General features: G+C 37.0%; 1 protein-coding gene, 1 long non-coding RNA gene and 1 pseudogene across 14 annotated transcripts in view; 2 read left to right on the forward strand and 1 right to left on the reverse strand.

The window, feature by feature from the left end:
- The window catches only part of SWT1 (SWT1 RNA endoribonuclease homolog), a 134,722-nt gene extending 110,299 nt beyond the window's left edge, over window positions 1–24,423 (forward strand). For 11 of the 13 annotated variants that reach the window (XM_005245271.3, NM_001105518.2, XM_011509657.2 and 8 more), the window contains 3 exons: window positions 3,965–4,031; window positions 9,246–9,310; window positions 23,316–24,423. In XM_005245271.3, coding sequence (XP_005245328.1) covers window positions 3,965–4,031; window positions 9,246–9,310; window positions 23,316–23,445 — 262 coding nt within the window. In that variant the 3' untranslated portion in view covers window positions 23,446–24,423. Of the gene's footprint in view, window positions 1–3,964; window positions 4,035–9,245; window positions 9,316–23,315 lie in introns of those variants that run through there. The other 2 variants (XM_047423246.1, XM_017001528.3) reach the window with 2 other exon arrangements.
- On the reverse strand, window positions 321–23,316 carry LOC105371651 (uncharacterized). The gene is made up of 3 exons (XR_922360.3): window positions 15,996–23,316; window positions 2,835–2,967; window positions 321–492 (listed from the first exon to the last, which is right to left on the reverse strand). It is a non-coding gene; the product is annotated as an uncharacterized LOC105371651 (long non-coding RNA).
- On the forward strand, window positions 13,934–14,755 carry PSMD7P4 (PSMD7 pseudogene 4; annotated as a pseudogene).
- Window positions 24,424–25,354: the final 931 nt, after the last annotated feature.

Genomic DNA, 25,354 nt, shown 5'->3' on the forward strand with positions numbered 1-25,354 from the left:
AGGGTGTTAAAGCTGGGCTACGTAATTAAATTCAGGGAGATAGTGTATGTAAAGCAGGGTCAGACTTAAGTGTTCAGTAAGTCATTATGTGTTGTTATTGATGCTGTCATAAAGGAAACCAGAGCACATCCAGCTGTGAGCTGCAGATTACATCCTGCTTCAACATCTGTTCCCCAAAACTCATTCCAGAATTTAAGAGTGAAATTTTAAGATTATAAACCACTTGAGGATAATGGACCATGTCTTATTTTTTTAAATATTTCATAGCTTCATATGCATTTGAACAAATATGCATTTAATATATACTTACTGTAATTGTTATGAATTTCTTTTTAAAGGACAAATATGAATATATTTATAAATTTTAAAAATGGCCATTGTCTAAAAGATATTTTTCCCAAGGGCTAATTTCTTGATTCCATCATTCTTTTAAAGAGTTGCCATTGAAGGGTGATTTTAGGACTTTCATTCAAAAAGCCTTTTGTCTTCATACTGTACAAGAAAAAAAGAATGAGAAAACTTTAGAGAAGGCTGACCTCTCAAGAATTTTGTGTGGGGAATTACTAAGGCATTTTCTCTATTTTATTTTCTGTATATTTTCAACAAGCTGTATTTCTAGTGAGTAAAAGTTTGCAATTTTTTTGTGCCAGGCCACATTCCATTCTCATATTCAGAGTTCATAGGATGTAATGAAGTCTAAATTCAACCCCAAGTTGACTGCATTTTAATAAAGTTGTCCAGTCCATTCTGGGCTCAGTTTACCTCCAACCATCTTTCAAAATAACAAATTTTATCATATATCCTATAACATATATTGTTGTTTTAAAAAGTAACATATATAGTTTTTATCTGATTATAAAAGTAATATAGCTGTGAATGAAGATGAGATCCCAATAAACCTTTCTTCATTAGAATACAATTCTGTGATATTTTGTGAAATAACTAAATATTTACATTTAGAACAAATTACTTCTTTCTTAGAAACTTAAAATTCCTGTGTTTCTTAATTTGTTTACAAGTAGCCATTGAAAAGTTGGAAGAGATGGCCAGACGGACAAGAATGATATATTTTTCTTCCTTTATTATCTCCCTGTGCCTGGTCAGGATTTGTTTCTTTCATGCCCTCTTTAGAACTGTGAGGCTTTGAGCTACTCTGGATCGTTCACCATTGTATCCAGGGGCCCAGGTCTCAAATAGTTGTTGAATGAGAGAATAAAGGGTCACTTGCTCTGATCTGGGCATCTTTAGTACATATTTTACATTTTTATTTACTCATCAAATACACTGTGAGGGTTGGACATTCACTAGAGTTTGTCTCATCCTCTGGAGTCTAATATAGTATGTTAAACTTACTAGCCTCATAATATAGAACATCTTGTTTTATCTGATTTTCTCGCCCTCTTTTATGGACAGTTCAGATTATTTCTAAAGCCGTAAAAAAGAATAGGTATAAAATATTCCACATGGCTGATAGTTTGTTTTCTTTCTTTTTCTCTTTTTTTTTTTTTTTTTGAGACGGAGTGTCGCTCTTTTGCCCAGGCTTGAGTGCAGTGGCGCGATCTCGCCTCACTGCAAGCTCCGCCTCCCGGGTTCACGCCATTCTCCTGCCTCAGCCTCCCGAGTAGCTGGGACTACAGGCGCCCGCCACTACGCCCGGCTAATTTTTTGTATTTTTAGTAGAGACGGGGTTTCACCGTGTTAGCCAGGATGGTCTCGATCTCCTGACCTCGTGATTTGCCCGCCTCAGCCTCCCAAAGTGCTGGGATAACAGGCGTGAGCCACCGCGCCTGGCCTGATAGTTTGTTTTCACTTGGTTACCAAGTTAGAACACACTAGTTTGTTTCCCTTGCCTTTCTAAAGGATTGGTTTAACTTATCTAGATAGCTTTGTCTTCATGTTTTAAGCAAATTATGTATGGATCCTTCTCCATATGTATTATCCAAGCAAATTATGTATGGGTCCTTCTCCATATGTAGTATTCCTCAGGGCTTTTTTGGAGGGTTAAGAGGTTTTTGTTTTTTTTTTTTTTTGTATTTTAAAATTACTTGTTGGGAGAAAAACTTTTTCTATGAAATAGTATTCTTATGGAGGTTGTTATATATTCTTAAAGATGTTCTGTATGTGTGCCCCCTCCAAGGGACCTTTAAAAATTTGACTATGTCCCGAAAAACTATTTATGAAAGCTCTCCCGCAAGTGTAATAAAGGCCAAATAGTCTAAGGATGTAATTAAGATTATTGAGAACAGTTAATTATCAAGTCTGACAGAATCAAGTAGTGGCAAGGATGTGAAGACCCAGAGACAGTGTTGTAATTAAAAGCCATTAGGAATCTAAAAGTTAACCGAAGTGGCTTGATTTCTCATTAGTTAATATCAATATTTACTTATTTTATAGCTTGAAACTACAGATGATTTCCAACTTATAATGGTTTGTTTTAGGATTTTTCAATTCTATGATGGTGCAAAGCATTTAGCACAATCCTTGACTTACCATGGGGTTAGGGTTATCTTCTGATAAACTCATCATAAATTAAAAATATTACAAGTCAAAATGCACATCTACTTAGGATGTTTTCAATTTACGATGGGTTTATCGGGGTGTATCCCCATTATAAGTCAAAGAGCATCTTTATTAGATGATGATGATGATGATAGTTGTTACTGTCACTGTTATAATTGACATATACTGTATAGTACTTGCTGTATTTCATATGCTGTTGTAATGACTTTTCTTATAGTAATTAATTTAATTCTTGCAGTAGCCCTACGAAGTAGGGACAGTTATCCTAACTTAACAGATAAGAAGATAAATCACATAAAAGTTAAGTAACTCACCAAGGTCACACAGCTAGACAAAACTCACACAGTTGAGGCAGACAGTACTCAGAGGCACTACACTGTACCAAAATGACAGGCTGGTTTACTTTCCTTTTTTTTTTTTTTTTCCAAAAGAAAAACAGTATTCATGCTGAAAGTATGGAAAAAATATTTAGTATAAGAAAATGAGAATTAATACTTTACTACTAGAAGTAAAAATATGTTCTTCCCTTCATTATTTTTATGGCCGGGTGCTGTGGCTCACACCCATAATCCCAGAACTTTGGGAGCCTGAAGTGGGAGGATCCCTTGAGTCCAGACGTTTGAGACGGGCCTGGGCAACATGGGGAGACCTCTTCTCTACCAAAATAATTTTTTAAAATATTAGCCCGACTTGGTGGCGCTTGCCTTGTAGACCCAGCTACTTGGGAGTCTGAGGTGGAAGGATTGCTTGAGCCCAGGAGGTTGAAGCTGCATTGAGCCATGATCACACCACTGCACTACAGCCTGGGCGACAGAGTGAGACCTGGTCTCAAAAAAATAAATTTAAAAAGTTGTTTTATTTCTGTGTTTGTCATTTGTTATTTTTTTGTCAATCAGTGTTATTTTCACAATTTATGTAATCTATTGATTTTTCATAGAGCTGTAGGCTGATAGTTCAAGCAATGTTATTTGAATTTAGTCAAAATCTTTTATTAGGATATCTTTTAAGTGGCTAATAGTTTCATCAGTTGTCTGTTTGGACTGGTTGAACATTTCTGTGGGAAATACTCAAGCTTTGTCTGGAGCTTAAAAGATATGAAGTATAAATGCACTTCACATTTCTGTCTACTTTTTGAGAAATCTGTATTATTGTATCTTAAAATGTGAACTATAACTTCACGTGTAAGAATGCTTATAGTTGTTGATTAATTGATGTTATAAGCATGAATTTAAATAAGCAAAAACATTTTAATAAGTTGACCTCCGTTGAATTAAGTTTCTGGTTTTATAATTTTTAATTGATTTTTAAAAATATTATAAACCTGTAAGCTTATTAAACAATAAGTTACCTCTTGTGGTATGGGTATGTTTTGGGAGAAAGTTCAAGGTATTGGTTTTTTCTGAAATCATTTATTCCCCCCCTTTGTTTTTATTTTATTTTTTAGGATTTTGGCCCCAAACAGTAATTATCAAGATGTTGAGACCCTCTATAACTTCCTAATCAAGTATGAGGTATGGGAAATATTTTAAAATATTTATCACATTTCTACTTTAAACAAATTTTAATGTAAATAAACAGAGTAGGAGTTCTCAAACATAGTGGAATGCTATTTAATTGATATTTGCTTTAAATTATTGAATGCCATAAAAGTTTGTCAGTGACATATTCTTTTTTTCTCACTTTTAAAAAATGGTATATTTAAGGTATATAGCATGGTGTTTTGATATGTTATACATAGTGAAATGGTTTCTGTAGGTAAGTAAATTAACATATCAGCTATCTCACAGTTAACCCTTTTTGTGTATGTGACAAGAGCAACTAAAATGTACTCTTTTAGCAAAAATTTTGAATATAATACAGTCTTATTAACTATAGACTTCATATTGTATGATCTCTAGGCTTGTTCATCCTATGTATCTGCAGCTTCCTATCCTGTGATCTACAACTGTCCATTTCATCCCCTCCTCCCTGCCAGTGACATATTCAATTTTTTCTTTGATTCCCTAAGTAAAAATATGAGAGTCCTAAAATAACACGCTTTCCTCAGTGCGAAATTGTTTCTCATCAGGGGTGCTGTTGGCATATTGGACAGGTCATTTCTTCATTGTGTGGAACACTGCAGGATGTTTAACATCCCTATACATCAGGTACTAAATGCCTGTAGCGATACCAGTTGTTGTGACAACCAAAAGTATTCCATCTCCCCATCCAACTTACATACCCAGAATACCTCACAAAGGAAGAACTCCTGGTTGAGAAATAGTTATTACTGGAAAGGAGAGCTATAATTTAGTTTCCTCTATAGTGGCAGCATAAACCCTGGAGGTAGAACTATAATGAGGCTTCAGTGTATTTTGTAAATTAACCTGCATGCTCTCCTCATCATTACTGAACCGAAGCGGGTATTCTGTTGTCAATTTCTGTGTGCTTAATGCTCTTTGTTTATGTTTCCTGTAATAGTATTACTTTCAATTTTGTGTGTATATGTGTTTAATTTTTAAAACATTCTAAATGAAGGAATGTGGCATATATTCAGGTCTCAAATTTCTTATGAAGTCAAACTCCTTTAAATATATTTCTTCACTTTTATTCCTGGTTAGCTCTTTGTTTAACTTTCTGTATGCCACATCTTCCATTAAGAACCCAGTGATTAAGAACACAGACTCTGAAGTCAAACTACCCGTGCTTAAATGTTGGTTCTTCTACTTATTAACTGTGTGATCTAGGAAGAGTTATTTAATTCTCCTTATCTCAATTTCTTCATCTGTGAAATGAGAGTAACAATAGTAGGTAAATTATTTGTATTCTGCAAAGATTAAATAATGTAAAATATGCAAAGTGCTCCAAACAGTACCAGGCACAGAGAACTAGTCTTGGCCAGGCTTGGTGGTTCACGCCTGTAATCCTAGCACTTCGGGAGGCTGAGGTCAGTGGATCGCTTGAACCCAGGAGTTCAAGACCAGTCTGGGCAACACAGTGAGACCCCATCTCTCTAAAAAACAAACAAAATTAGCCGGCATGGTGGCATGCACCTGTGGTCCCATCTCCTTGGGAGGCTGAGGAGAGATTATTTGAGTCCGGGAGGTCAAGGCTGCAGTGAGCCATGTTCATACCACTGCACTCCAGCCTGGTTGACAGAGCAAGACCCTGTCTCAAAAAAAAAAAGGGGGAGGGGATGGTTAACTAGTTTTATTTAAGCAATGAATGGTGTTTATATGGGCTTTTTAAGAGTCAGCCTTAATTTGGCTGAGCGCCGTGGCTCACAGCTATAATCTCAGCACTTTGGAAGGCCAAGGCAGGTGGATCACTTGAGGTCAGGAGTTTGAGAACAGGCTGGCCAACATGATGAAACCCCATCTCTACTAAAAGTACAAAAATTAGCTAGGAGTGGTGGCATGGGCCTGCAATCCCAGCTACTCGTAAGGCTGAGGCAGGAGAATTGCTTGGACCTGGGAGGTGGAGGTTGCAGTGAGCCGAGATTGCACCACTGCACTACAGCCTGGGTGACAGAGTGAGACTCTGTCTCAAAAACAGTAAAAATAGGCTGGGCGCGGTGGCTCATGCCTGTAATCCCAGCACTTTGGGAGGCTGAGGCAGGCGGATCATGAGGTCAGGAGTTCCAGACCAGCCTGGCCAACATAGTGAAACCCCGTCTCTACTAAAAATACAAAAAAATTAGCCGGGTATGGTGGCGGATGTCTGTAATCCCAGCTACTCAGGAGGCTGAGGCAGGAGAATTGCTTGAACCCAGGAGGCGGAGGTTGCAGTGAGCCAAGATCACACCACTGCACTCCAGCCCAGGCGACAGTGTGAGACTCTGTCTCAAATAAATAGATAAATAAAAATAAAAGAGCCTTAATTCTTTATCACCACATTATATGATTATTAAGAGAACTTCCTCTTTTGAAATGATTCATATAATTATTTCATCTTACTTTCTGAATTTCAAATCAAAACATCAAGTCTAACAAAAATGTATTTGTAGAACTGGGCATGGTGGCTGTGATCCCAGTGACTCAGGAGGCTGGAGGTGGGAGGATCGCTTGAGGCCAGGTGTTCAAGGCTGCAGTGAGCCATGATCATAGCACTGCACTCCAGACTGGGTGACAGAGCATGACTCCAGCTCTAAAATATATATGAACAATAGGACAGTTTTAAAATCACATACCCTGGAAAATTCTGGGGCATAGTTCTTTTTAATTTAGTACTTTCTATTGCCAAGAGTATTAGAAGAAAGTACCTAACTTATTAATTATAAGAATATGTGGATCTGTTGCTTCATGATATCTTGTGATATAAAGAAACAAGAAAAAAATTTAAAAATTAAAAAATAAGAATATGTAGATCTAAGAATCATATGTTGTATATATTATATATAGATGTCAGATATATGTAATATATATTATATATAGATGTCAGATATATATATTTTATATATATATTATATATAGATGTCAGATATATATATATTTGTCACAGTCATGACCCACTAGATCCTTGAACTCCTAGGTCAAGCAATCTTCCTACCTCATCCTCCCAGGTAGCTGGGACTACAGGCATGCATCATCGTGCCTGGCTGATTCACAGATTTTTAAAATCATTTCTCTTAAAAGAATTGCTTTTCCTACATCAGTTACTACATTGGAGATATTTGTCTAATATTAAAAATGGTGGTAGGACTGTCTAAATCTTTTAAGGAGTTTGACTATTTTTATACTTCTCCTTTGCCTTTTCTTGAATTTTTTAATTAAAAAGAAGCCATTTCTAATATCTGGCTTTTACTGTAAGTAGTACAGCTAAAAGGTAATGATACCCATTTCACAATTCGTTTTATAGTCACAACTCTAATGTTTGCTGACAGTGGCATGTTTTAGCTATTTTTTTCCCCTGGAAATTAAAATTGTTCATTTAAGCATGGAGATGATATTTAGCAGTGTAATTTAAAATGTCTCAATATGGGTAAGTGAAAATGTCTTCATAGTCAAAATTAATTAATATGGTGAAACAAGATCAGGCCAGACCATCATGAGACTGTGCTTCAGTTTTTCTTTATTAGTAAAGTAACTCCTACTTTGTAAATTATCTACTATAACCTGGAATTATGTCACCTTTATACTTCCAGCTGTGTTCTTGGATAAATGTCTAAATGTATGTGGATGGTTGCTTTTACAACTAGAGATAAATGTAGATACTTAAAAAAAGATCTATTAAAAGCTTAATATAAATTATTTTATATTCATATTTAACAGGTTCAAATTCAGTTTTTCAGCTGATTTTTCTCAATAGTTGTAGAAAATGGATCATTCGCTTCATCCTCTGACCAAATGTCTGCAGTGTGTTGACATTTGGTGGCCCGTGTTCTGATACATTGATGGTCCCAGAATGTGTGGCTATAGTAACAATATCAACAGCCCTTAGGAGAAGGCAGAACATGTAAAGAAGAAAGAAGTGGACTGGTTGATAGTTTAAATGAATTTTTTATAACATTTTTAGAAGATTCTCTTAAAAATTATGGTAAATTATATACCAATTTCATATAATCATTAAATATAATATCAAATATTATATAATTAAATAATACTAAATATATAAATATATACTAATTTTAAGCAATATATCCATGTTCATTTAAATATTTGAAAACTATATATATGTGTGTACATATATATATAATTTTTCTTTTTTTAAATAGAGACGGGTCTCACTATGTTGCTCAGGCTAGTCTCAAACTCCTGGGTTCAAATAATCCTCCCACCTTGACCTTCCAAAGTGCTGGGATTACAGGCATGAGCTGTTGCACCTGGCCAAAAAAACTGTATATTTTTAAACTTACAGTGAATGAAACATTTTCTACACAAATATGGTAAACTTTCTATGAAAACATTGAAGAAAGTCATGGAATTTTTGCCAATAAGCAATACATTGAATCATATAGAAGACTTTTATGATAAGAATCTTTAAATTAGTAGTAATTAAATTAGGGGGTATCATTCTTCCCCACCAAAAAATGCATGCCAGCTAGCAACACTTAGAAATGTTTTTTAAGTAAATTGAATAGAAATTAGCCTTACTGTTTCCTTTTACTAATTCTAATTTTCTGAAAATTTAGTCAATATATTATTTGTTATCTGATCAAAATAATTTTTCTCTGCAAGTTTTCAGATTCTTCCCTGCATATAAATAGGAATATTGTCTAAATGAATAGTAAGTTTCAAGATTCCTTCACTGTGTCTTCCATATGTGTGCCATAGCTAGTTTTTATATGATGAAAGATTTTTATATTTATGGTATTATAAATTATATCTCTGATATAGATATTTATTAACTTAAACCTATTAGTTTAAACATGTAGACCTCAATAATCTGAAAAATATATTTCTTCAGAAAATGTCTGTAAATCAAACTTTTTCCTAAACCAGATAGAACTGTCTGCAGTTTATAATCTTATTTGTGTTTTTCTGTCCATTTGATCTCTACTGTGTCTAGGCCCATCTCACCTCTGCTGGTTCTACTAACAGATTAAGATATAATAGTGGGATTCATATTTTTGCATACAGTTCCATGTTAGCATTATAGTCGTTGCACTTCTTATTGTTGCTGTTTAATCCTTTTTATGCAATAACTAGAAATTTGAACTTTCCTCTCAGAATATGGGCTACTCTAATTTTGCTGTCATCACTCACTTTAATATATATTTTTAATAACTATATCTTGGTTCCTTTCAGGTAAATAAAAATGTCAAATTTACTGCCCAGGAAATTTATGATTGTGTTTCTCAGACTGAGTATAGGTAAGTCATATCTATATATAGATATAAACCATTGTAACAAGCTTTTCCATATACAGCAGCACTTGGTGGTGGTGGTGGTGGTGATGTGTTTTTTCATTGTCTTTTCACTACACTGTTTTTTTTTACCTTACTAATATTAAATATTTCCTATATACAAAAAGGTCATGTGTTGTGTGTTTATCAGCTATTAGGTTTAAAGTGGTTCTCCAATTTTTTGGCCTCAAGACTTTGTTACATTTTTTAAAATTATCGAAGATCCCAAAGAGCTTTTTTTTGTATGGGTCATTATCTAGCTATATTTGCTGTATTAAAACTTAGAACTGAGAATTTTAAAATGTTTATTTATTAATTCATTTAAAAATAACAACTACATGTTAAGATAAATAAAATATTATGAAAATGTTAAAAGTGACATTGTACATTTTTGCAAATCTTTTAATGACTGGCTTAATAGAAGGCAGTGGGATTCTTACAACTGCTTTTGCATTCAATCTGTTTTGATAAGCATGGCCGGATTGCGGGAAAAGTACTGTTCACTTTTGTGAGAGCAAGAGTACAAACGACAAATCACATCTTAGTCTTTATTTATTTATTTATTTGTTTATTTATTTGTTTTTTTTTATTTTTTCTTTGACACAGAGTTTTGCTCTTGTCGCAAATGGTGCGACAATGTGCAGTGGAGCGATCTTGGCTCATTGCAACCTCTGCCTCCCAGGTTCAAGCGATTCTCCTGCCTCACCCTCCCAAGTAGCTGGGATTATAGGCACCCACCACCATGCCCGGCTAATTTTTTGTATTTTTAGTAGAGACGGAGTTTCACCATGTTGGCCAGGCTGGTCTTGAACTCCTGACCTCAGGTGATTCACCTGCCTCAGCCTCCCAACATGCTGGGATTACAGGCTTGAGCCACCGCACCTGGCCACATCTTAGTCTTATTATGGAAATAGCTTTGACTTCTTTGACCTCGCATACCCTCTGAGAGAGTCTTAGATTCCCTGTGGTCCCCAGACCATGTTTTCAAGAACAACTGATATAAAAAATACCCATCTGCCTACCATTCAACTAACAAACTTGAATTTTACCCATTTCTAGCTGTAACCTACCTTTTATTCTCTCTCAAGGGATTGTATCTTTATAGTTCTCATCTTTTTTTTTTGTGGTTTTACTGTTATTTATAACAAAAATAAGTTGATTTATTTTGCTGATTTTTGAACTTAAATGTATCACACTATATACTTTTTTTTCCAAAATGATTTGTTTTATAGCATTCATACATAACAAAAAGGGCAAGTATTATAAATCCAATTCTTTTTTTTTAATCTTCTTTTTGTCTTTTTTTGAGGCAGGGTCTCACTATGTTGCCCAGGGTGGTCTCGAACTCCTGGACTCAAGCAGTCCTCCTGCCTTGGCTTCCCAAAGTACAGGGATTGATTACAGGCATGAGCCACCATGCCCAGCCGCAAATCCAATTCTTACATACACAGGGTATAGTTGTGAAGCCTTTGCTGTGGGCTAATGCTTGTGTACCCTCCAAACTTATACATTGAAATCTAATCCCCAATATGATAGTATCAGAAGATGGGGCCTTTGGGAATTGGATTAGTACCTTTATAAAAGAGACTGCAGAGCATTGGCTAATTCCTTCCCTTCTGCCATGTGAGAACACAGAGAAGGCACCATCTGTGAGGAAGAGGACCCTCACCAGACACCAAATCTGCTGGTGCTTTGATCTTGAACTTCCCAGCCTCCAGAACTGTGAGAAATTTATCTTGTTTGTAAGCTCCCCAATCTAAGATATTTAATTATGGCAGCCTGGACAGTCTAAGATGTCCCTCTAATTCTAGGCCCAGGCAAATTCATGAGGAGCTAAAACTGTTTAATTCCTTCACTGTTGCCTTCCAATACCCTCCACCACTACATATTCCATTTTAGCTTAACATCAGGATTGATCCATGTTGACACATGGGGCAGTAATTGGTTTTCAGTGAGTTCTGTTGTAACACGACATGTGCATTCGTAAATGTCGCCACTGCATTGTATAGTCATGCAATAAAAACCACAAGGTTTATGGGAAAAATGGGATTAGGAGCATAACACTTAACCTCATTTGGGACACATTTTTAAAAAGGTAGGAACTTAATAAAAGTATCACTAAACCACAGTTCATTTGCTATATATAACTTACCTGTGTACCTGTGTGGCTACAAAATATTATGAACAGGCCTAGCAACAAAGTTAACTAGCAAAATGCTTCTACTGTTAAAGCTCCAGACTGATAAATTTGTTTGAGGATATCAGATGTAGGATTGATAGTCATACACAAATGTTTCAACACAACTATGAAAGTTCACCAACTCATTAGATTAAAATAAGTTTTTCAAGAAAATCTGAAGCCAGTTGGCATACACAAATCTGTTACAGTTGGGGGAGAAAATGTTTTCTTGCCCTAATCTTCAGATTATCAATGAATCGGTTTTACTCATATAGATTTTTACAGATAATCCACATTTAAAATATTGTGTGAGATGTGTCAAAAATATAACATCTTCCAACCTTAGCCGTATTTTTTAGTGTAAAAAGCTTATTGTAGATACATGGAGGCCACAATTTCTTGAAGCATGATCCTAGTAGACGTCTAGAATTGTTTTGATTTTAGCTTACTTTTAGATTAGTTGGCAGAGTTTTTATTGGGGGAAGTTCAGGAGTCAGGTCAAATGTTCATAGTTAAAGTAGTTGTACTATTTTTTTTCTTTGTTTTCTTTCCATTTATTATGTCAGGGATTTAAACTATGAAGTTAATGAGTAAACCCTCTTTTATACCCAGAAGGATGATTTTAAAGAGAAATCAAATATATTTAATATGTTGCAGGCATTGAAAAATGGTAATTGCTGCTCAGCAAGCTTTCAGTTAATACTATTTAGATCTTTTGGGTTTTTTGTGAAATTATTTGCCAATATTTAGAGTACACAGTATCTTCCATATTTGTCTCTGGTGTGCTCCACAACTTAAAATTTTCAAATAAGCTGCCAAAAGAGAGAGGGTTTTTTGGTTTCACTGGTTCATACTAGATATGGGGCCAATTGTGGAAGATGAAAGGTGACACCATTTCCCTGTGACTCAGAGGTGAAAACAGAAGAATGATTTAACTTGCATATAGATGACTCCCTTTGGGAATATGAAGGACAGTTAATGTTTAAGACAATTATTTAAATTGTCTGAATTTGATAATCTTTGTTTTTGTTTTTTTTAAAGCATTAGTTGTAAACAAGGAAACTGTTGATGTGCCACACCATATTTATTGCAATAAGGAGATGTGAAATAATGAGAAGTGTATCTGTGCCCTGATATGGTTAGGTTTTGTGTCCCCACCCAAATCTCATCTTGAATTGTAATCCCTATAATCCCTACGTTTGGAGGGAGAGACCAGGTGAAGGTAATTGAATCATGAGAGCAGTTTCCCCCATGCTGTTCTCATGGTAGAGAGTTCTCATTGAAATCTGATGGTTTTATAAGATGCTCTTCCCACTTCACTCAGCACTTCTCATTCCTGCTGCCTTGCAAAGAAGGTGCCTTGCTTCCCCTTCCTCCATGATTGTAAGTTTCCTGAGGCCTCCCCAGCCATGCTTAACTGTGAGTCAGCTAAACCTCTTTCCTTTATAAATTACCCAGTTTTGGGCAGTTCTTTATAGCAGTATGAAAACGGACTAATGACAGTCGCTGACTCTGGTTCCTGAGACAGAGCTCCTAAAACCCTAGATAGGACTTCTGGGATAATCTTTTGTTCTAATCTTTGGTCTTTAACCTGGTTTCCTGACACAGAGCTCCTAAATCTCTTGGAATTTCCTAGGTGATAGGAGCATCGTTTGCTCTAATGAGGCAACTCTTGGTGGGCTCCTGGATGGGGGCTGGTCACCAGAAGGACCCAGCCATGATTAGAAGCTTAACACATTCAGCTCTACCCCCTATCCTCTCAGAAGGGGAGAGGGGCTCCAGGTTGAGTTAATAATCCATCATGCCTACAGGATGAAGCCTCCTCCATAAAAATCCCTGAACTGGCAGTAGCTGCCAAACTGGAATAGGAGAAGCTGGGCCTGGAGGAGCTGAGAGAGTTCTTGCCACTGTTGGTGTTGGCGAGTGGCAGGGAGCCAGGACTTGAGGGTTGGGGTGTGTTGTGATGCCAGAGCTGGCGGTGCAGAAGGTGGTGGTCTACCCCCTGTTGCTTCTCAGTGTGGTGGATCACTTCAGCTAATTTGGTGAGGTTGGAAACCAGAAGCATGTTGGTGTGCTATTGGGGTCATGGCAAAAGAAAATACTTGATATGTCCAAGAGTTTTCAGTCCCTTTTTATGATGATGACTAAGTCCTTTTTTATGAAGATGACAAAGATGATCTGATTTTTAGACCAAGATTATTTGGAAAACATTTATGGATTGTTTAAGAAGGTAAATAAATGCCAGAGAAAGAATATTTGGGTGGCACCACACAGGCCATAAACTTTACAAGAATGCCATTGCCATCAATGAAGTAATGAAATGATGCTGCCCTAACTCTTGTTTTGGTCATTATTGATGTGAAACCCAAGGACCTGAGCCTGCCCACAGAAGCATATATTGTGGAAGAAGTTACAGAAACATATACAGTGGAAGAAGTTCATGTTGATAGAACTACAACCACAAAAACATTTGAGCATGTGACTGTGAAACTGGAGCAGAGGAAGCTGAGGAAGTCAGAGTCAAACACTTGTTATGAGACATCAAAGACACTACCGTGGGTACTCTTTCCTAGCAGATTATTAACCAGGTCTATGCATGGCTTGAAGGGTAAAAGTAGCGACAGGCAAGCTACCCATAAACCATCAGATCATCTGCCTGCTGTAGGATGTCTTCAACCTGCTGCCAGATGTCAGCCCTGATGAGTTTGTCAAGGCCTTTCACCTGAAGACCGACCACCAAATGGAGGTGATATACTTGGCCTTGCTGATCTGTTTTTGGTTGCCCTGCACAGCCTCATCAACAACAAGATTGCTAACCAGGGTGCAGAGAAGAAAGACGGACAGGAAAAGAAGAGAACAAAAAGGATAGAAAAGGAGACAGAGAGAAAGACAAAGAAAACATAAACAGTGATGAAAGAAGAGAAAAAGGAGAAAAAGTAAAACATGTAGCTTTTAAAATTTGTAAATTAACCTAATAAACTAAATCAGTGTGCTGCTAGAAGGTTCTTGCTTGCTTTTAGTGCTTTTTGAAAAGCTGTTCTATTGACAACCCTCTGCTTCTGGCCACCCTTGCTGTGGCATTACATGGAAGCAAATGGATAGAGGGACTGATCTTGTACCTAATACTGCAGTTTCAATTGCTGTGAGTTGAGGATGTAATAGTCAGCTCTGGCTTCAGATTGTGTGAGAAAAATTAAGAGAAGTCAACATAACATTTTTGGTACTCATTCTTTACCTGTAAAACCAGGAGTTGAGTTTTTCCCCACCGTAAAAGACTCTTGGGGTCTATTTCTGGTAATTTACAAAATTGCTGAACAGAGTGCATGAATTCCACCCATTCTCTGCCTTTTAACACTTTTGAGTTCTGACCCTTTTGAACTCTGTTGAGAAAAACCACACCACATTTTGGATCTACGTGTAGTTCTGGCATTCTTAGGGCTTGGGATCCAGCTTTATATTTTGTTTACCTTCGAAGACACAATTAAATGGTTTGGTTAAAAAAAAAAAATCCCTGAACTACCAGGTTCAGAGAGCTTCCAGGTTGCTGGACCCATGTAGCTTCTTGGGGGGCGGCACACACAGAGAAGGCATGGAAGCTCCAGCCCCTTCCAACATATGCTTGGTAATATCAAGTATTTTATAAAAAATGAGTAAAACATAAATATTTCCCTGAGTTCTGTGAGCTGTCCTAGCAGACTACACCTGAGGAGGGAGTTGTTGTGGGAACCCTCCTGATTTATAAGCCAGTTGGTCAGAAGTAGAGGTGACAAACTGTTACTTGTAGTTGTTGTCTGAAGTGGGGGGCAGTCTTGTTTGATGAGCCCGCAACCTGTGGGAGTTGACTCTGACTCCAGATAGTGTCAGAATTGAATTGAATTATAGTACACCGAGTCGGTGTTCACTGGAGAATTGCGTGCTGTGTGGAGAAAACCCCACACACATCTGGGGTCAGAATTGTTGAGTGGAGTATATGAGAGTATAGTAGGAAACCCCACAACCTCCAGGTCGACCAACTACCTATAAATTGGGGGTTCCCATGACTCCCTCTTCAGGTTCAATTAATTTGCTAGAGTGGCTCATAGTACTCAGGGAAACATTTTACTTATATTTACCCATTTATTATGAAGGATAAATTAAAGGATACAAATGAACAGGTAGATGAAGAGGAGATACATAGAGTGAGGTTCAGGAAAGTCCCAAACAGGAGCCTCTGTCCCCATGGAGTTGGGTATGCCACCCTCCTGGCATATGGATACAATTAAGTAGCTCAAGAACATAAAACTGATGGGTTCTAATAAAGCAAGGAATTAAGATTTTAGATTAAAGTAGCTTTGATGAAAAGTGAATTCCATAAGACACAGAAGAACCTTGGTGCTTATATCTGCAATTCAGCTGGTGTTTTCTCTTCTCCAGTTTTTAGACTCTTTGAAGTAGCTTTTGCTCTTGCCAGTAGAGTGTCTGAGCACTGCTTACCCTGAGCAGATGAGGAGTTTGCTCCAAATCCAGGATGGTAAATTAAGGAGATTATCAAACATTACCAAACAAATATCTTGTGCAGTATCTTCTATCTTTATGAGAAATTAGGTACAGCATTTAATTCACTTTTTTTTCTGTCTTGTAAGTTCTTGATAAAGTGTTTTGACATGTTTGTTAGGCAAGTATGTAAGGTTTTTGTTTGTTTGTTTGTTTGTTCCTTTATGAGATAATAAACTAGTTTGTGACATCAGCCTCAAAGTACCTGACTGTATGAGACGGATACCAAACCAAACTGTTTTTCTTGCTCTGAAACTCATCACAACACACTTCTGACACCAGGCAATCAGATGCACCCCATCTCCGATGTATACATGTGACCTTTGTATCTCTCTTTTTTCACTTAGCATAATGTTTTTGAGGTTTATCCACATTTTAGCATATATCAATACTTCATTCCTTTTCGTGGCTGAATAAGATTCCATCACACACACACATATATACACACCACATTTTGTTTATTCATTCATCTCTTGATGGACATTTGGGTTCTTTCCACTTTTTGACTGTTATAAGTAGTATTGCTCTTTGTGTATAAATATTTGAATTCTTATAATTATTTTCCATTTTGGGGGTCATATACCTAGGAGTAGAATTCCTGGGTGAGATTCTAATTCTCAGAAGCTACACTATTTTACATTTCCACTAACAATATACAACAGTTCCAACTTCTCTTCATCTTGGACAACACTTGTTATTTTCCCTTTTTTGGTTTTGGTTAGTTATTGCCATCCTGATGAGTATGAAATTGTATCTCATTGTGATTTCAATTTGTATTTCTCTAATATTAATTAGGGAAGAGGTTGAACTTCTTTTCATGTGCTATTTGGCCATTTGTATATCTTCTGGAGAAATGTCTATTCAAGCCCTTTGCTCATTTTTAGTGGGTTGGCTTTCTTTCTGTTATTAGAATTCTTTATGAGGAATTTGGCCTCAGGCCAAAATCTTACGTGATGTTTGAGCCCACTATAGACAATTACAAGGCTTTATCTGACAAACTCAATGGCGGAAGCTGCTTTCCCCATACCTAAGGAAATGTTGACCTAAAAGGAAGAGTTGAGGCACAAAATATAATTTAAAGAGTTTACTTGAGCCAGAGTGAAGACAGCTGCCCCTGGTGTGTGTTAAAGTTGCCTTGGGGAGTGTACCCTCAGCCCTTGTTACAAGCAAATTTTTAAAGGGAGAGAGAACAAGGAGTGGGCTAATACAAAGTTATTTGACAGGAATTCTCAATAGTTGACAGATATATCATTGTTCAGTGATTGGCTATACATTTTTGAATTAGAGGGTATGAGTTAGGGTGTCCAGCATATGGCAGTTGTGGCTTCTTCTTGTCAGTTAGCCTAGAGCCCACATAGCAAGTGTCTTCAAGAGATAATTATTTAGCTCAAGGGGGAGTGATGTGACTGCTGTTTCATTCCAGTGCCTCTCTGGACCTGATAATTTAAACAGGCTTGCATTCCTCAGATAAGTGTCTTTTTTTTTTTTTTCCATGCCAGTGTATGCTGTTTTCTGGAGGTACTTACTGGCAGTGACTGAGACTCCCTGCAGCCACACTCACACACAGCTGTATTCCTAGCTCAGGTGACTCTGTTTGGAGGCCTTCTTATGAGGAGATGGGGGAGTTGGCTGAGGCACTTCCCAGGTACCTCCACTGAGGCTTCCTTTTGGAGGCTTTGACTAAGGTATTTCTGTCTTATCTGACTCAGTACTTTTCTGCTTCTAGCCCTTCCTCCTCTTCCTCCCCGTGGGCCCCTGGGTTCATGAAGATGCAGAGAGGCAGCAGCCTTCTTCAGGGCTTCTCAGCAGTGAGACAGTGTGCCCCACCCCGACAACCCAGCAGTGCATATTTATCTCACCCTTTCCTAGGGAAGTAATGAAACACTGGAGAACTAGCACCTCTCATTTTGCCCCTTGCTTATACTGTGGCAAGAAGTGAATAAAAACTTGATGGTTACTTTTAATTTGCCTTGTCCTTATTAACCACATCAACACCTGGCGGTTCAACATGTTATATATTCTGGATATTAGACCCTTATCAGATACATAATTTGCACATATTTTCTCCCACTCTGTAAGTTGTCTTCACTTTTTGGTAGTATCCTTTGGTGCACAAAAGTTTTTAATTTTGATTATTTATGTATTTTTTTCTTGCATTGCCCATGCTTTTAAGACTACCTAAGAATCCATTGCCAAACCTAAGGTTATGAAGATTTATCCCAGTGTTTTCTTCTAACATTTTTATAGTTTTAGCTCTTACAGTTAGGCCATTGATCCATTTTGAGTTAATTTTTGTATATGATGTAAGGTAAGGGGTCCAGCTTCATTCATGCATTCATCCATCCATATACATGTATGTGGATATCAGGTTTTCCTAATAGTATTATTGTTGAAGAGACCATTCTTTCTCCATTGAATGGTCTTAGCATCCTTGATGAAAATCAGTTGACCATATATGTGAGGGTTTACTTCAGAACTTTTAGTTCTGATTCATTGGATGTCTGTCTGTCTGCTCATACCAAACTATTTTGGTAATAGTTGCTTTGTAGTGAGTTTTGAAATTGACAAGTGTAAGTCCTCTAACATTTTCCTTTTTCAAGGTTTTGTTATTTGGGATGCCTTGCAATTCTATCTGAATTTTAGGATCAGCTTTTCTGTTTCTACAAAAAAGGTTGTTGGGATTTTGATAGAAATTGCATTGACAATGTAGATCAGTTTGGGGAGTATTACCATCTTACTAAATATTACAGTCCATTAACATAGGATGCTTTTTCTCTTATTTAGATATTCTTTAATTTCCTTCAGCAGTGGTTTTTGTTTTTGTTTTTGAGACAGAGTCTCACTCTGTCGCCCAGACTGGATTGCAGTGGCGCGATCTCGGCTCACTGCAACCTCTGCCTCTTGGGTTCAAGCAATTTTCCTGCCTTAGCCTCCTGAGTAGCTGGGATTACAGGTGCACGCCACCAGGCCCGGCTAATTTTTGTATGTTTTTAGTAGAGACGGGGTTTCACCATGTTGGCCAGGCTGGTCTCGAACTCCTGACCTTGTGATCTGCCCGCCTCAGCCTCCCAAAGTGCTGGGATTACAGGCATGAGCCACCGCATATGGGCAGTGTACAGGTCTTATACCTCTTTGATTAAATTGATTCCCGAGTATTTTATTATTTTTGATGCTATCATAAGTGGAATTATTTCCTTTTCTGCTTGTTCATTGCTAATGTATAGAAATACAATTGATTTTGTGTGTTGATCTTTTACATTGCAACTTTGCTGAATTAGTTTATTAGATCTAGCAGTTATTTTGTGACTTCTTTAGGATCTACAAATAGAAATTATTCTGTTTCTTTGTTTCCAGTTTGGATCTCTTTTATTTCTTATTCATGCCTAATTGCTCTGGCTAGAACTTCTAGTACAATGTTGAATAGTACAAAGTTGTACAAAGTTGTACAAAATGGTACAAAGTTGAATAGTGAAAGAAGCCTTCCTTATCGTGTTCTTGATCTGAGGAGGAAAGCATTCATTCTTTTACCGTTGATGTTAGCTATTATATACTGCTTTTATATTTGTATTTTATATATTACATTGTATTTCATTTTTCTTTTATTTGACGTACACATTGCAAATGTAGAAATTTGCAATAGAAAATTCAGAAAAATAGAAAAATTCAGAGGGTTGTAAAACACATATCCATTATAGACCTCATTCTTGGATTTTGGAAAAATTGCATCCAGCACTGGAATTAGATCATGTAAATTCACTAGTACCATGCCACTTTGACCAAATTGGTTATGCGAAAGGAATCACAAAACTGTGTGGAATTATTTTTAAATTGTATGATAAAATTTCTAGTTATTTTGACCCGAGATTTGGTCAAAGCAAATTTGATACCATTAATAGGAAAATCTAGAGAAATAGTGGCTGTTATTTTGCAGAATCTCATGAATCGCAGAACCAGAAGCAACCTCCAGTTTTGAGCTCTGTTCTCGAAAGGATCAGGAATTGGAATAATTCCTCTTGGAAAAAAAGAAATAGGGACATAAAATATTTGTACTATCAGAGGAAGAAGGGAAAGAGAGTTTTTGTTTTATTTTAGGCAGACTCAGGTCAGATAGATGGTTTTTATAGGCCCAATATAAAGGAAGAACTATCTAGCAGTGAACTGCGTCTTACAATAGTGAGTGTCCCATCACCAGGAGGGAAAAGCTGAGGTCAGATGACTCACTGGAGATGCTGCAGAAGACAAGCAGAGGTGTTAAGGTGCCCCTGCAGCCAATATTCTGTCATTCTACAGATTAACCACCAGGTAAAGGAACTTAAGAATGCCTATCACCATGATCTAATAAAAAGTATAGGCCAAGCAGACACTATGAAAAACAGCCAATACTTTTCTCAGCCAGTGATGACGGAACTTGCTACAGGAAGCAAAATCTGTAGGTGATAATCCATTGTCCAGAATACTAACTCACGTGAATTAAGAAACAAATGCCACTAGGAGGAAAAGAGAAGATAGAGCTCATTTCTTAATTACAAGGGGTGAGAGGAAGAAAAACATAAGACACAGAAATAGATTCAAAAGTCTAGTTACTGAAGGATATTTTTTTCACATGTGGAATAAATAAGGACAGGAATAGGGGCCTACCCTTTTAGTTTGTTTCGTTTTTAAGTTTGTAAGAAAACATTTATATCTCTGCTATTTTGAATCCCTTAAGAGTGTTTCAAAATCATTTTTTTGAGTAGTTGTGAAGAATTGGCAGCACCATAGCCCTATTTTTAAACTTTAAATGTAGAAAATGAGATTAGGGTTACACAAAGCCAAAAGTCAGATTTAAATTTTTTTTATTATTATTTTTAGGGAGCAGGTCACACTGTATTGCTTAGGCTGCTCTCAAACTCCTGGCCTTCATGATCCTGCTGCCTCAGCCTTCTGAGTTGCTAGGATTACAGATGTGAGCCACCCAAAAGTCAGGCTTTAATCAGTCTCAGAGAAACCACACATTGTCAAGAAGTGACATTATTCCAAATATGGTACATTTACTTTATTATTATTTACTTCGGTGTTGTCACTACTCCTTGTCCTGTCCCGAGTTCTGATTGTCCCCTCAGTTCTTCTTCCTTTGTACTCTCCATCAAGAGATCTGTCATGTGGGAGGGGCAGTGGGAGAGGTAGCTAGTGGTTCTCTCCAACACCATGAATATGGCAGAGCTATCTCAGAAGCCAAGGAAGTAATGACAGTGTAACTGTTAAAATAAAAATGACTGCCAGTTTTGAATACTTAACATGCCAGATGCTATACTAGATGTTGGGTGCTCTTTGTGAACTTACATAGACCATCTCCCAGTAGATTAAAAGAGTTATTTACGGGATTGAATTCTTTGACACTTTGAATTCTAGATGCTAGATATAATGGATTGGTGTCCTACAATTTGGGATTCCACAATTTGTAGTCTCATGTTAGCTTTTGAGAGCCTGGCTGGCTTTGCCTGAAGTAAAATTGTGAAGTAGATATGGCACATATTAAGCACTCCCTGCTTCCCCACCCTTGGTTTAAGGTTACTAACATTCCTTTGGTAACTGCTAGGTAACTTGTCTCAGCAATATTTCTAAGAATTGAAACTCTGTCAACTTCCTTACCCCTCTCAAGTATCTGTTCCTTTCAGGAGGTACATCCTCTTAATATCCTCCAGTCTGCCTCTTCTTTACTCTCAAGCCAAATAAGAGAAAAATAAAAATATAATGGACTAATACTGGGATTTGAAATACATTCTTTGATATTTGAGGTAAAATACCATCAATTATGATTAGCACAAACAAATAACATAGGAAGATAAAAGCACTTAGTTGCACAAATTCTTACATAGCCAACATGAAGACAACCTTGGTGTGATTCCTAGAATTCTGGAATTAGGGCTTCTTCCGTGGTGGACCTGCCACCAACAGGCAAAGCTGGATGCCTAACATAGCCTTTTATATAATGGGCTTGGTTGAACAATCTAGTTCTACCTTACTCTCTGAAGGACCTCTCTTAGTAGGAAATGGGCTTATGTTAAGATGTTTTAATCCAAGGGGTAAGCCACACAGTTGGAATAGAATTTTTAATATATCCAAAGGAAATGAAATCAGTATGTCAAAAAGATATCTGCACTCCAATGTTCATTGCAGCACCATTTACAATAGCCAAGATACAGAATCAACCTAAATGTCTATCAGTGAACGAATGGATAAAGAGAATGTGGGATATATACACAGTGGAATACTATTCACTCTTAAAAAAAGAAGAAAATCCTGTCATCTGGAACAACATGGATGAACCTAAAAGACATTAATAAACCAGGCACAGAAAGACAGATACCCACATGTTCTCACTGATATGTGGAATCTAAAAAAGTATGAGTAGAAAATAAAATGGTGGTTACCAGGGGCTAGGAGGATGGGGGGCTTTGAGGAGATGGTGGTGAAAGGACACAAAATTTCAGATAGGAGAAATAAGTTCAGAGATCTATTGTACAACATGGTGACTTTAGTTAATGACAATGTATTGTATTTTGAAAATCACTAAGAAAGTAGAGTTTGGCTAGATGCACTGGCTCATGCCTGCAATCCCAACACTTTTGGAGGCTAACATGGGAGAATTGCTTGAGCCCAGGAATGAGACCAGACAGGGCAACATAGTGAGACCCTGTCTCTACCAAAAAAAAAAGCAAAACAAAACAAAACAAAATTAGATGTGGTGGTGTGTACCAGTGATCCCAGCTACTTGGGAGGCTAAGGTTAGAGGATCACTTGAGCCCAGGAGGTTGAGGCTATGGTGAGCTGTGATTGCACCACTGTACTCCAGCCTGGACAACAGGAGTGAGACCCTGTCTTTTAAAAATAATAACTAAGGCTGGGCGTGGTGGCTCATGCATGTAATCCTAGCACTTTGGGAGGCCATGGTAGGAGGATCACTTGAGCCCAAGAGTTCGAGGCCAGCCTGGGCAAGATGCTGAGACTCTATCTCTAAAAAAAGTTTTTTTTTAAATAGTAATTTTAAAAATGTAGATTTTACATGTCCTCGCCACAAAAATAAGTGTGTGGAATAATGCATATGTTATTTAGCTTGATTGAGCCATTCTACAATATATACCTAGTTCAGAATATCATGTTATACATAATATATATATATTTTTTATTTGTCAATTAAAATGTAAAATAAAATGAAAAAGAATTTTTATTTCTCTGACTAGCTGTCTTGCAATGATTTAATATTTCTTTTTCTCCTAGGGAAAAGTTAACCATTGGATGCCGCCAGCTGGTTGAGATGGAATATACCATGCAGCAGTGCAATGCATCTGTTTATATGGAGGCCAAAAACAGGGGATGGTGTGAAGACATGCTCAACTATAGGATATAAGTACTGATTTGTAACTTTAAAGGAATTGCATTTGTCCTTAAGAATAACAGAGTAGTTTTCAATCTGGTCACTCTTTTGGGCCAAACCCAAGAGAATTTTAAGAAATGTTTCATAGGTATAAAAAGGTGATCGCCTATTACTGACAGTCTCATTGTAGCTCTAAAAAGCCTAATGTATCCACTGTGGAATAAACTCCATAGACTCAACTCTTCTGGAGTTCACAATGCCTCCCTACCTCTATTCTTGATAGTGAGCCAGTATCTCTAAGGAAAGGAGAGCCGTATTTTTAGTCATCCTAGGGCAGGAGCCACTGTGGCATCTGAGGAAGACCCAGGGTACAGTATTAGCATTTCTTTCAACCCTAAGTATGGGCATGTGACCAGAGACACTGCCAAACCCTAAGAAATCATTAGGGCATGATCATGCTCACCATATTTCACAAATGAAATCTTAATGTGGGCTGTTTTTTATGATCAAACTGTCATCCATGTTGACCTGATGAAAATAACACCCTCCTTCACCTCCCTCAGGGTAATGAAAGTAGAAATTTGACTGAAGCTCCTACTTCCTTATACAGCCTTTCCTTCTGTGGGCTTGTCACTTTTCAGTACATTTCTAGTGGGGAAGAGCAGGGCGACCCCTCTGCTGGGTTTCTCCTTAAATGTGAAGCAAAATAAATTTATATAATGGAATTTGGTGGCAGTGACTGATGTTTGTCTCTAGCTAAAACCAACTGTTTAGTTGACTTTTTAGTTATAGGATAAGTTGGAAGTCCTTGTTTACTGGAATATATTATGCTTTTGTTAACACATTAGATTAAATAGAATTTGGTATTCTATTATAAATGTTTATTTTTTAAAGCAATAAATAACTTATTTTTGGTAAGATTTGGCTTTTTACTTCCAAATTGTTTCTGATATGTACATAAGGTATGATTATAAAAGTGACTGTCTGCAATAAAAGAGAACTTGTTCAGGATATTCACTAGTTGGTGTAGAACCTGTTAAGCTTTGGGTTTGCCAGATTAGGGAACCACACCACCAGCCGCACAGATGGGGCTCAAAGTGCTGTCAGAGATTATGAGCTTCTGGGCAAATGGGGAAGCTTTAAGAGGGCATCTCTGCTCTCTGCCTCTTTCCTTTTCTTTCCTGAGAAGCCAAATAAATATACATTCATCTGTTGCCTGCTGACCCCCATGAAAAGAAGTTTTTTCAGACCCTTATCCTTCAACTTCTAGTTGTTATTGTTGGGTTTTTGTTTTTCCTTGTTCTGGTAACTCCTCTTTTTTTTTTTTTTATCGCTTTAATATAGGTTAATCCTTTCCTTAAAATTTCTTTTCAGTCTTATCACATATTTACCCTTATGCCTACTTCAGTCTTATATAAAAAACTTTTTCAATATTATTGAGATGTGAAGATGTCCTTTTTTAACTTTCTAGTCTTTTTTATTCAAAAACATTGTTTTAAAATTTTTGTTTTAGCTTTTATTTCTTCCATTTGAAATCATTTGAAATGTCAGGTCTTGCTTTTTTTTGTTTGTTTTTCCCTCTCCCTTCTTTGTTGCTTTTTTTTTTTTTTTATGATCGTAAACTTTATTACTTTTCTATTTGTTGTCCTAATCATGTAATGCAGGGGTTGAGAGTTCCTTTACTGTTTTGCAACTTCCTTTTTTTTTTTTTTTTTTTGAGGCAGAGTCTCACTCTGTCACCCAGGCTGGAGCGTAGTGGCTCGATCTCGGCTCACTGCAACCTCCGCCTCTTGGATTCAAGCAGTTCTCATACCTCAGCTTCCCAAGTAGCTGGGATTACAGGCATGTACCAGTATGCCTGGCTAATTTTTTTTTTGTATTTTTAGTAGACACAGGATCTCACCATGTTTGCCAAGCTGGTTTTGAACTCCTGACCTCAAGT

Source organism: Homo sapiens, chromosome 1, assembly GCF_000001405.40.
Source record: "Homo sapiens chromosome 1, GRCh38.p14 Primary Assembly".
Taxonomy (NCBI): Eukaryota; Metazoa; Chordata; class Mammalia; order Primates; family Hominidae; genus Homo; species Homo sapiens.